General features: G+C 40.0%; 1 protein-coding gene across 12 annotated transcripts in view, besides 1 other annotated feature; it reads right to left on the minus strand.

Annotated features, from left to right (window-relative positions):
- NUP98 (nucleoporin 98 and 96 precursor) overlaps window positions 1-13139 on the minus strand; it is a 122545-nt gene that overhangs the window by 24594 nt on the left and 84812 nt on the right. For 8 of the 12 annotated variants that reach the window (NR_157591.1, NR_157589.2, NM_001365128.2 and 5 more), the window contains 5 exons: window positions 12961-13125; window positions 6842-7024; window positions 5597-5753; window positions 2860-3289; window positions 1007-1236 (listed from right to left, as the gene is read on the minus strand). Coding sequence is in view for 9 of the 12 variants with exons in the window: in NM_001365128.2 (NP_001352057.1) it covers window positions 1007-1236; window positions 2860-3289; window positions 5597-5753; window positions 6842-7024; window positions 12961-13125 (1165 nt within the window). In the remaining 3 variants the exon portion in view is untranslated. Of the gene's footprint in view, window positions 1-1006; window positions 1237-2859; window positions 3290-5142; window positions 5236-5596; window positions 5754-6841; window positions 7025-11949; window positions 13126-13139 lie in introns of those variants that run through there. The other 4 variants (NM_139131.5, NM_005387.7, NM_001365125.2 and 1 more) reach the window with 3 other exon arrangements.
- Window positions 2478-2977: an enhancer, noted in NCBI's record as "H3K27ac hESC enhancer chr11:3723311-3723810 (GRCh37/hg19 assembly coordinates)". NCBI's record gives its function as "activates a minimal SCP1, AML or CMV promoter by ChIP-STARR-seq in primed H9 embryonic stem cells {active_cell/tissue: H9 hESC(primed)}" and the evidence as "EXISTENCE:reporter gene assay evidence [ECO:0000049][PMID:30033119]".

A 13139-nucleotide genomic window follows, 5' to 3' on the forward strand; every position in this document is an offset into this window, starting at 1 on the left:
GTTCCCCAAGCCTAATTATGGCTAGTGTCATCTCAGATGATATCTACTTTGATCAAATTCTGTCTATAAAAATCAATCTACAAAAGTACTGTTTATCATTTAAGCCACTTACAAGTATGCACTGGTAAAATAACTTACACATTTGAAAAGACAATGAGACGATTAAGTAAATACAAAGAACTGAAGGAACATAAACAAATCTCAAAACGTGTGGCATAGGACATTCTAAAACAGCCCATTTTTCAATAAACGTGATTTGCTAAACAAAATGATTTTTCTACTGTTTGAAATATTAATAAATTAGATAACCCCTTTATCAAAGTATTGATTCAGAAAAACATGGTCATGATAGATGAGAAAGGTAATCTTGAAAGAAGCCAGGAAGAGGAATTACAACAAAGCTGTTGAGAAGACCAACAGTACTTGAGCTGGATATGGAAGAATGGATAGGATTTAGAAAAGCAAGAAGGGGCCGGGCTCGATGGCTCACGCCTGTAATCCCAGCACTTTGGAAAGTCGAGGCAGGCAGATCACGAGGTCAAGAGATCGAGACAATCCTGGCCAATATGGTGAAACCCTGTCTCTACTAAGAATACAAAAATTAGCTGGGTGTGGTGGCGCGCGCCTATACTCCCAGCTACAGTGACAGAGTGAGACTCCGTCTCAAAAAAAAAAAAAAAAAAAAAGTAAAGCAAGAAGGAATGTATTTCTCTCCCTATGTTCTCTGGATTAGGTAAGAAATTCAATTTTATAAATCCAAGGATTTGACTTGCTACAGTTCTTTGTGGAAGAATTTGTACATTAATGGGTAAAAGAACAAAGTGACAAGAACATAGTGACAATTTCTTCTTGCTTGGGAATCTGCTTAGTTAAACTCAACCTCAGAAAATGACAAGCACAGGCATTTACCTACTAGACTGGTGCCAGGAAATTCATCCTCCCGTGAACATACGCTACCACCACTATTATTGGGACATCAAACATTAGAAACATAGTGTGTACTCACTTTGTGCTTCTGGTAAGTCTCCTGATGCTTCTTTAACCCAATCTGCATAGTCATGAATGACAGCAACTCCCAGATTGGGGACAATGAGAGGACACAGTTCATCCACATGGACAGTGCTGTGTTTTAATTTGAGCTCCAGAGGTGTCTGATATAATTTCATGTCTTCATCTGGCTTTCTTTGTCTCAAACTGAGTTTTTCTAAGTGAACTTTGAATGGGGACTCAGTTAGGCTACAAGAGCAAATGAGGAATAGAATAGAAAATGAACCTAAGACAGAAGCTAGGATTTTTACTTCAACCAAACCACTGTTTCTTTTTATGATTACAAACGGAATGCAAACATTTCACTGTAGTTTTAAAGAAATTTTGTTTCTTAAACTATACTGAACTTATCTGCTATATACTGGGGAAAAAAAATCATCTGATCAGTGCATTCAGAACACAAAGGCTTCTTAGGCCAGGTTATAACAAGCATGAGAATCCTAACAGATTTAGAACTGGCTAAAACTCAAGGGCCAAAAGCTATTGTGGGATACCTGTTTCTCAAATTATACTTGGGTATCAAAAGTCATGAGGCTAAGCTTCTAGATACTAAAGAACTGATTCTAAATTACAATGAGCATATAGCTAAGCTAGGCTTGTTCCAATTTTTTTTTTTTTTTTTTTTTTGAGATGGAGTTTCACACTGTCGCTGAGGTTGGAATGCAGTAGCGTGATCTTGGCTTACTGCAACCTCTGCCTCCTGGGTTCAAGGGCGATTCTCCTGCCTCAGTCTCCTGAGTAGCTGGGATTACAAACATGCACCACCACCCTGGGCTAATTTTTGTAATTTTAGTAGAGACAGGGTTTTACCATGTTGGCCAGGCTGGTCTCGAACTCCTGACCTCAAGTGATCCTCCCAAAGTGCTGGGATGACAGGTGTGAGCCACCGTACCCGGCCCCTTGATCTAATTTTTAAGATTGATATTAATAACCTTCAAAATTCACAAGATAATGCTTAACCTAGAATAACTAAGTTTAGGATCAGTATTCTTAATTGTGAGGTTCAAGAGACATTGTTGTTTTTTCTTTTTCTTTTCTCTCTTTTTTTTTTTTGAGACTGAGTCTCATTCAGTTGCCCAGGCTAGAGTGCAATGGCGCGATCTCAGCTCACTGCAAGCTCCGCCTCCCGGGTTCACACCATTCTCCTGCCTCAGCCTCCTGACTAGCTGGGTCTACAGGCGCCTGCCACAACGCCCAGCTAATTTTTTTTGTATTTTTAGTAGAGACAGAGTTTCACCGTGTTAGCCAGGATGGTCTCAATCTCCTGACCTCGTGATCCGCCCATCTTGGCCTCCCAAAGTGCTGGGATTACAGGTTGTTTTTTATTTTTTCAAAGTCAACTTTAAAAATGAAGGATAGGCTGGGCAAGGTGGCTCATGACTGTAATCCCAGCACTTTGGGAGGCCAAGGTAGGACAATCACTTGAGCTCAGGAAACATTAGCTGGGTGTGGTGGCGTGTGCATGTAATCCCAGCTTATCAGGAGGCTGAGGCAGGAGAAGAGCCTCAGACTGAGAGGCAGAGGTTGCAGCAAGCTGAGATCGTGCCACCGCACCCCAGCCTGGGAAACAGAGCAAAACTGAGACTCAAAAACACACACACACACACCGGGGAAACAGAGCAAAACTGAGACACACACACACACACACACACACACACACACACTCTCTCTCTCTCTCTCTCTCTCTCTCTCTCTCTCTCTCTCTCTCTCTCTCTCTCTAGAAAGATGACAAAGCAGGGCCCTATCCTCCTGATTAGTTTTTTTCACCTATCATGTTGCCTTTCTCAAAAAGCATCAAGAAATGTGACTCACGGTTTAACAGCTACTGGATTGGGCAGGAATCCAAACTCCATGGAATCGGCAATCTGATGATTTTCTAGTTCATGAGAGCCATTCAGCTGTTCTCCACTATTAGCAAGAGTCCAGTTGGGGCCCCAACCAACACGAAATGAGCGTCCCATGAATAGGGCCATGTCCATCAAGAGTTTTCCCTTGCCATAGGTGACAGACTTTTCACGAGGGACTAGGCCTAGTTGCCTACGTGTACCCACTGTTTTCAACGGAACCTCAGGGGCTGGGCTGGGCATTGTGAACACAGAAGTCAGGGGTGGAGGGACAGACCAAGAGGATGTGGATGGGATATTCATTAAAGATGCTGCTCTGGGAGTACGACATTCTTGCACAGAGACACTTGGTGAAAGAAAAGCTCCACTTGTAAATTTTGATTGTAGTAACCCACCAACTGAAATGAAGCGGGAATGAAGGGGAGAAAGACTATTACAAAACACAAGCTATTGTTTCTTGAACAATAACAAAAATCAGTAAGGCTGAAATCATTCAATGTTTAATCAAACTACTTATATCAGATGTGGATGACCAGAAGCAGGCTAAGTCAGATTTTGCAGAAATTACTCTTTGAACTAGGAAATCAGGACAAGATTCTAATGATGATGATGATATCTACAACAATAATAAAAGCAACAACACTATTAATATTATTTAAAAATATGCAGCAGGCTCTGTATAAGTCATTTGTATATGTTATTTCATTTCACTCTTCAAAAACTTTTTTTTTTTTTTTTTGGAGACAGAGTCTCGCCCTGTAGCCCAGGCTAGAGTGCAGTGGCATGATCTTGGCTCACTGCAACCTCTGCCTCCTGGGTTCAAGCAATTCTCTGCCTCAGCCTCCCGAGTAGCTGGGATTACAGGTGCCCGCCACCATGCCTGGCTAACTTTTCTGTATTTTTAGTAGAGACAGAGTTTCACCATGTTGGCCAGGCTGGTCTTGAACTCCTGACCTCGTGATCCACCTGCCTCAGCCTCCTAGAGTGCTGCAATTACAGGCATGAGCCACTGCACTTGGCCTCAAAAACTTTTAAATGATTAGCATTATTATCATTCCTATTGTATATATGAGAAAACTGAGCTCAGATAAGTGACTTGTCCAAATCTACAAAGTGACAGGACCAGGAGACAAGCCAAGGTTAAGTCTGGCACCACTCCTCATGCCCTTATCAGAATCCTAAAGGTAACGATTTCTTAGCACATATAAAAGTAAGATCAAAACTCAAATTCCTACTCTACTCTAAACAATGCTACAGTCAACGAAATAAAAACACACTAGGTATCTTACAATTGTACATGTGACCTTCTGAAGGACAGTTCTTTAAAAAAAAATTTTTTTAACATTTAAATTTTTATCTAGCTAGCTAGCTATTATAGGGATGGAGTCTTGCTATGTTGCCCAGGCTGCTCTCCAAATCCTAGCCTCAAGCCATCCTCCTTCCTCAGTCTCCTAAAGTGCTATGATTATAGGCATGAGCCACTGTGCCCGGCTGAAGGACAGTTCTTATTACCAGTGCCTGTTTCCCAATTTTACGTGGCTTTTGTCTAAAGCATGGAGTTAAATATTATTGAAGTACCAGATTTTCATGTAGTATCCATTACGGAAAAGGTTATTAAGAATGTTTAACTGATACTTTTTTGGTTAATATATTTTCTTTCTTTCCTCTATACCAAAGGGAAGTTAAAAATATTTTTAAAAAGCAAAGTTGATAATAAGGGAACTCAAAAGAATTGAAAAATATTTAGTTTTTAAAGCAATATAAACAAATGTCTCTCTGCCAGTTCCTCTGGCTTTCAAAATATGTTGAAACTACATCTGCTTAAGTTCTTTGCTGATATTAAAACTTTATTTCCAATCCCACATAGTTACAAGCCCACTAGAAAAGAGAAAACTTTAAAATCAAATATGTAATCACTTCCCTGGGAATTTAAAAAGGTTTAGTGAAAAGTAGAAATCTGATGTGCTCTGTGCATTACGAGAAGCAATACTTGTCCCTAGAAGACAATAAGACAGTGCTGTAAGGACTGCACAAAACAAGTATAGTGCAGGACAACTTGCTGAACTAAGTAATGTTATAAAAATTGGGAAGTCAGAGCTTACTATCTAATCCACATTCATAAGCAAACAAAAACATGAACCTAAACAAAGCACAAATGCTTTTTTTCTCCATACACTTCTGCATCTGCACAAACAGAGGTAATTCTAGTTCTTAAAAACCGGCCACTCCTGCCAGGTGCAATGACGCATACCTGTAATCTCAGCACTTTGGGAAGCTGAGGCAGGATGATCAGTTGAGGCCAGAAGTTCAAGACCAGCCTGGGGCAAGATAGCAAGATCCATCTCTATAAACATTTAAAAAAATAATTAGTTGAGTAGTGGGTATATGCCCATAGTCCTAGCTACTCAGGAGGCTGAGACAGGAGGACTGCTTGAGCCCAAGAGTTCAAGGCTGTAGTAAGTGCGACTGCATAACTGCACTCCAGTCTGTGCAACAGAGAGAGACCCTGTCTCTAAAAACAAAAAACCTGGCTACTCTTAATGAATACTTATAAGTACAATTTCTCTTAGCACCCTTATGTCACAGGTATAGTTGTTTGGCAGATACTTGCTAGAGAAGTCCACTTGGGTTAGAAGAAGAAAAGTGAAAAGCAGGACTTGATGACTGTACAGCTTTCTTGTAAAATAGCATCTTTTATACTGTACCTAGTGAACGAGTTTTCGACGAGTGGGATGCTGAAATGGGGAGTCTGGGAGAACAGATTTCTTGAGAAGTATCTGCTTTGGAAGGCAGGCGACTGAAGCGTTGATCCAGTGCCATATCTACATCTTCTTCATCAGTAAGCAATGATGCTTTCATGATCTAAAAAGGCAATATCTATAGAATGAATGTGCTTCCCAGAATCAAAAGGCCATACCAAAAAAAAATGCAGTTTACAACAACCAAAAATATTGTTCCTCCTCAAGGCTGTGTACAGAGCTAGTATATTTGTGTGATGGATGGACCCCATTACACTGTGTGTGCCTGAAAGGCAGAATTCATATAATACTTCTCTTCTTTGTATCTATAGCGTCTCACCAGAGCCTGGCACACAGCAGTTGCTATGTTTGCTGATAAAATAATTTTAAAGTCAAACATAAGCCAAAGGTTAAACACATAACACACCAAAAGGCACTGGGATAAAGGGAAGTAAAGACATAGCTTAAAGAAACCTGTGCTACTAGGTACTAAAATTTTTAAATTTTGTGGAGCACATACAGAGTCTTAAAAGTACCCTGTGATGTAGACAAAGTAATATTTTATAGAGAAAAATCAGTACTCACAGCTATTATATGACTTGCACAAAGTAATAAAGTTACAAAATTGGGATTGGGGCCGGGCTCAGTGGCTCATGCCTATAATCCTAGCACTCTGGAAGGCCAACGCGGGCAGATCACCTGAGGTCAGGAGTTCGAGACCAGACTGACCAACATGGAGAAACCCCTTTCTCTACTAAAAATACAAAAAAAAAAAAAAAAAAAAGTAGCCAGGTGTGGTGGTGGTACACGCCTGTAATCTCACCTACACAGGAGGTTGGGGCAGGGGAATCACTTGAACCCAGGAGGTGGAGGTTGCAGTGAACCAAGATCACACCACTCCACTCCAGCCTGGGCGACAGAGCAAAGAAACTCTGCCTCAAAAACAAAACACAACAAAATTGGGATTGGAACTAGGACTCTGGATTCTAATGCAGTTAAAACCAGAAACCCTATCTACTAGTTCTCAATATAGCCTTATCTCCTTGAATAAGAGAATGAGGCCCAGACATTGGCCATATTCTTGTATTTTTTTTCCCCATTACAGTGAGCACTCAATGATCTTAATAACCAAGGAAGAGACCTGATCCTATGCAATGGAGATAAAATATTAGTTTGGCTTTCTGTTACAAAAAAGGTGGGTTAGAACTTCACCTGTAAGACATGTGGATTAATTCCCAGTGAAGATGCAATATGTGTTGAGGCAGACACAGGTTCCTGATCCTCAGGCATGCTCTCTTCTAACATGGTATCCAAAACTGGCTCCTGGGTGATATCTACCATGTCACTGTCCAGTTCCACAACCCTCCCTAACTGCTCCACCTCTGGGCTCTGGCTCTGTAGACAGCAGAAAGATCAGGAAAGCAGCATTAAATTATACCAAACAGAAATAGATTCTAAATCAGATTTACTTTATTCAGAATATGATACAACAATTATTAGATTCAGCCCATTCTATGGTGAGGTAAGGTAGCAGATTTGCTAGAGTGATTTAAAATCAATTACCCCAAGATAAACCAGTACTTTGATCCAAATAAGGATTCATGTAGTCATCCCATTCTAATATTACGACCTGGTGTCTGGGACCTAAACCAGCACCCATGGTGAAACAAATGGTGGTCTTCAGAGACAAAGATTATGCTTTACTTGATCTAGCTAGCAACTACAATTTTCTGATTTACACAGGGTCACCTTTTCCTAACACTGCCAGAAGACATTGGAAAAAAAGAACAAAAGGTACAAATATCAAAGTCTCCAGTAACTTTGCTTTTTCTTAAAAACATTTAGAAATAAATTTCTAGTCAACACAATCTTGGGTCTGGAATTTAACTTTTGGGTTACTGAATCCTAAGGTTAGCTGGTCTCTACTTGTGCAGTACCACGTAAGATACGAGCACTATCTACTCTTCCAAAAAACAAAGTAATAATATTAGGAACAATTTTAATCTGGGAAGAATCCCTTTATGTTTAAAAATGTCAAGAGTTATATTTACATTTATTAAGCAGTTTTAAAGACAACTATGACTAACAGTCTATGATTTAAAAGGGTAAACACTCAAAGCTGAAACACACTGTAAATTAATTGGTACAGTACAAATTCAATTACCTATATCCTAAAATGTTAGCAAATGACTAAGCCAATATTTGAAATATTTTCAAACCAAAAAAAATTCTAGACTGGGTTTGATGGCTCAAGCTTGTAATCTCAGCACTTTGGGAGGCCGAGGTGGGCAGATCACTTGAGGTCAGGAGTTCAAGACTAGTCTGGCCAACATGGTGGTGAAACTGTCTCTACTAAAAATATAAAAATTAGCCGATGTAGTGGCATGTGCCTGGGATTACAGGCACATGCCTATAATCCCAGCTACTCGGGAGGCAATGGAGGTTGTAGTGAGCCAAGACTGGGCCACTGCATTCCAGCATGGGCAACAGAATGAGACTCTGTCTCAAAAAAAAAAAAAAAATCCTGAAGGAGGAAAAAGCCCTGGTAATGACACCCAGGGCTCCCACTTAAATTTTAAGAACAGTGGCTGGTCATGGTGGCTCACACCCATAATCCCAGCACTTTGGGAGACTGAGGTGAGTGGATCACCTGAGGTCAGGAGTTCGAGACCAGCCTGGTCAACATGAAGAAACCCTGTCTCTACTAAAAATACAAAAATTAGCCAGGTGTGGTGGCGTGTGCCTGTACTCCCAGTTACTTAGGAGGCTGAGGCAGGAAAATTGCTTGAACCTGAGAGGTGGAGGCTGCAGTGAGCCAAGATTGTGCCACTGCACTCCAGCCTGGGTGAGAGTTAAACTCCCATCTCAAAAAGAAAAATAAATAAAATAGGCCAGGTCGTGAAGGCTTGATAAAATGGTTTATGGCTGTTTTCTGTGTCTAGCACATCACTAAGTTCAACACTTATTTATTTCGTTATTTCTATTACCTAATGCAGTGCTTGACACATGGTAGAGAAAGCAGTAAACTATAAAAAGATAAGGAGAGTGAGTGGGAGGAAAGAAAAAATGGGGAGGGGGAGAGTGGTTCCAATTTACTATACTACTCAACAAAGGAACACTGCTAATAGCAAGAGATGCTTACCTTGAACACTGTTTCAGATAACATGAGAGGATTTCGTTAAATAACCAGATTAGAGACCTAAGGGACTCGTCGTATGTTTACGAAGAATGCTAAGGATCAAGGTTTTATTTATTCTATTCACACAAACAGACTTCAAACCTGTAAGATATCATCTAATAAGTGGACAAGGGGGAAGGGAATTACTATGAAACTATGGTTAAGTGCCTAGAATGCCCTATATGTAAATTTTGTTGAAGTATATCTAAGTAACTGCAACATACTCCCCAAAGCTGTCTGTGTACTTATTTTCCTGGATATCTTGGCAGATCAGGTACCCTTTTTAGGCCAGTCCTGAAAAAAAAGGTGTACTTAAAAAAAAAAAAAAAAAGATGGCTCAGAAGTAACTGAGGAAAGGGAAGAGAAAGCCTACTGGGAGGTCGATGGAAAAGAACGGCACGTATAGGAAGAAGCAGCCAACGAGGACACCATTTTAACTCTCCCTTTCCTACAGTATAATCTCTTGAAGGCAGCATCATATTTATTTCCAAATAATGGCATGGCCCATTACAAATACTAACTACACAGATTATATCTGTAAAATGATTGTCTAAATATATGGAGGGTAACGTTTCACAACTGAAACCTTCAATGACTTGAGATCTCTCAAAAGACTGTTCCTCATTGAAACAAGGCTGCCAATACCTAACGATACAGCATTGCTTAATTCAGTAGGAAAAGTAAGATATATCAAGACACCCTCATTCAACAGAGTGAATGACAAGTCCAAGGTCAAACAGATATTTAAATAATTCATACTGTCCTCTCAGGCAAACAGTTTGATCCAATATAACTACTATTATTGCCTGTCTCAAAAAGAACTAGTTTTCTAACTGTAAAGAATGTTTTTGGCTGGACGTGGTGGCTTATACCTGTAATTCCAGCACTTTGGGAGGCTGAGGCGGATCACTTGAGCCTAGAAGTTCGAGACCAGCATGGGCAACATACTGAGGCCCCATCTCCACAAAAAATAATCACTTTTTTCCTTTAAAAAAGTTTAAAACTTATTTAGGCAGGGCGCTGTGGCTCCTGGCCTATAATCCCAGCACATTGGGAGGCCAAGGCAGGATACTCATTCGGCCAAGAATCTGAGACCAGCCTGGGCAACACAGCAAGATCCTGTCTCTAAAACAATAAATAAATAAATTAGCTGGCATGATGGCATGCACCTGCAGTCCCAGTTACTTGGGAGGTTGAGGTGGGAAGGATTGCTTGGTCCCAAGAGTTCAACCAGCCTGAGGAACATAGGAAAACTTTGCCTCAGAAAAAAAAAAAAAGTCATTAACTTAAATTCACTTAGTGAACAATGCTAAGTTTCTGAGCAAGCCAATTAGCCTGCCTTGATGTTACTGAACACAAGTTACACTTCAGTTATAAGGCTGAGGTACACTCTGGGGACTGTTGTGGGGTGGGGGGAGGGGGGAGGGGGGAGGGTATAGCTTTAGGAGATATACCTAATGCTAAATGACGAGTTAATGGGTGCAGCACAGCAGCATGGCACATGTATACATATGTAACTAACCTGCACACTGTGCACATGTACCCTAAAACTTAAAGTACAATAATAATTTAAAAAAAAAAAGTTTACAAAAAAAAAAAAAAAGGCTGAGGTAAAAACCTACACGTATCTCTACCTGAGTGCCAAAGGCCTGAGGTCTTTCAACATAGTTTTGAAACCTGATTGCACATTTCAACCACCTGGGGAGAAGCATTAAAATATAAATATGCCTGAGCCCCATGCCAAATCTGTGGAATCTAAGTCAAGCTTACCAGGGCATTGATGCAGCCAGCTGGAAATTGGATCCCAGACCAGGATTTTGAAACTAATGTTCTAACCACAGAACAAAATACTCTGCAACTACCTTAATTCATCTCTGTGACTAAGGTTTATCTGCCAACCAACATTTTCTCTAACCTAAAAGGTACAGGAGAGAAGATCACATGAAAATTTAGTTACCTTTATGTTTTCTGGTTGCTTAGATTTACTTGCTTTTTTTAAGAGCAAAAGCGAGGCTTAAGAACCAACTGGAAACAGGGGACTGACGATATTATATAAAAGGTAATGGAACAAATGTGACCATTAAAGAAAAATACACATCTTCCTAAATACCTAAAGAAACAGGCCTCTCTCCCCCAAGAAAAAAAGAAGCTGAAGTTTTGCAATCAACCTCTTTAAGGGGTGAGGTGATGGTATGCAGTCATCTTGACACAGAGATGAGAAGACTGCTATTTCCAGTATACTCAAACGGCACAAGTAGTTTCCCCATGCAAAGTAAAATGTAGGGTCTTTGGTGCTAATAACAAACCACTGGCATTTCCCATCAGCTTCACTTGGGTCAGTGAGCAATAAATATGAAAGAATTCTCTAGAGTCCTACATTTCTGCTCCAACATACCAAGCTCAAGGCCTTAGAAAATAATGCAAGTAAACAAAACCTAAAGTCTGGACATTTAAATACCTCTATCCATTTCTCTCATTTCTGCTCTTCCCAACCAAAAGGTCAAAGACCATTTCCACTTCCTCAGTCAAAGCTACTTGCCCATTTTAGGCTAGCCATGGTGACTCACGCCTGTAGTCCCAGCACTTTGGGAGGCCAAGGTGGGAGGATCACTTGAGGCCAGGAGTTCAAGACAACATGAGTTGAGGCCAACATGGCAAAATCCCCTCTCTACTAAAAATACAAAAAATTAGATGAGTGTGGTGGTATGCCCTGTAGTCCCAGCTGCTTGGGAGGCTGAGGAATGAGGCTGCTTGAACCTGGGAGGCAGAGGCCACAGAGAGCCGAGACTGCACCAGTGCACTACAGCCTGGGCGACAACTCTTTCTCAAGGAAAAAAAAAGCTACTTGCCCATTTTAAATCCTTACTACCTCTTTTTGCTAGAACCTTGATCTGAAATTTTTGGGTGCTCAATTTTTCAAAGAGCTCTCACAAACACAAGTGTCAATATAGGAGTTTATAGTTATTTTTCTACTATTTCTATTCTGGCAATTAAAGAACCTAGAAACTACTGTCAACATTACAAACATTTTCCTGTCTGTCCATAAATGAAGCTTTTCTTTTTCAGCTGGGCCAACTGGAAAGAGGTTATCTTTAAGATCCTACATATTACTTTTGTTACAGAAAATAAGGCCATCTGACTCTTTCCCTCAGAAATACATATATTTATAATAAATATATATATAAGGTTATAAAAAATTAGGAAAGAAGGAGATGATACAAAGCATATGACAGACAAAATGAATATGGATAACTGGAAAACCAAGTCTATAGCATTTCATTTGTCAATGGAGATTTCTTAGGGGCATTCTAAATGCTACCAAGATTATAAACATAAAAGTCAATATATTTCCAGTTTCCCACATTTATCATACCCTCCCCTCCCCTGTACGCGCAAACATGTATATACACACATTCTCCAGAAATGCCTCCTAAGAGATTATTTAATAAATCATAAAAACCACACATTTCAGCAGCCATAAGAATTATAGCATGGAAAATACCAAAGGTCTAGCTTTCAGCAGCTGAGAGGTAGAGGATGCTTTACAAAGAAATCCCGTATCAATGATACAAGTAATTGCGATAAACAATGTAGGCCCTAATCTCCCCAAGCCAAATAATAATTCATTTACATTCCCAAACTATTTTTCATAAAGATTATGTACTATTAAAATACAAATATCAAGGTTACCCGAAGTATAAGCAAACAACTTTAAAAAAATGGAGATTAAAAACCCTTTCAGAAAGCTAATTTAACTTTTAAAAAACCATGGAGGTAAAGAAAAAGATTAAACTGCACATCAGGTAGTCAATAAAGGCAGAATTTACTGTGCATGAACCCACATGAGCAAATCTTAAGTTAATCACTGAGCAGAGAATTCAGCAAGTCCAAATGAGAGAGAACAAAGGGTTTAAAAATGACAATCTGTAGAGGAATAATCCAAACAGCAAGAGAATTCTTTAAATCTCTCCAGTAAAAAGACAGATGCCTGCAAGACCTCACGCCCTCCCTTGCACTTGTTTCAACGTGATTGCCAATGTTTGTACTCTTCAAAGTTCCAAGGGTCATAAAACAGCTTTGTATTAGCTGAATGACTTGCTTTCAACTTCGGTATCACGGATTCCATTCAAATTCACTGTCCTTTTTTCTCTACCTGAGGTGGAGGTGCAGGTTTGCCATTAAGAGCCATCTGCAAGGGCGTAGTCTGGCTTGCAGGAGGCAAAGGAGCAGTCTTCAACTTCTTTGTACTAGTTTTAGACGGATGCTCCTCCTCCTCTTCATCAGAATCCTGAAGGCCATACTTAGAAAAATGGGAGACCTAAGGAAGAGAAG

The sequence above is a fragment of the Homo sapiens genome, chromosome 11 (assembly GCF_000001405.40).
Source record: "Homo sapiens chromosome 11, GRCh38.p14 Primary Assembly".
Taxonomy (NCBI): Eukaryota; Metazoa; Chordata; class Mammalia; order Primates; family Hominidae; genus Homo; species Homo sapiens.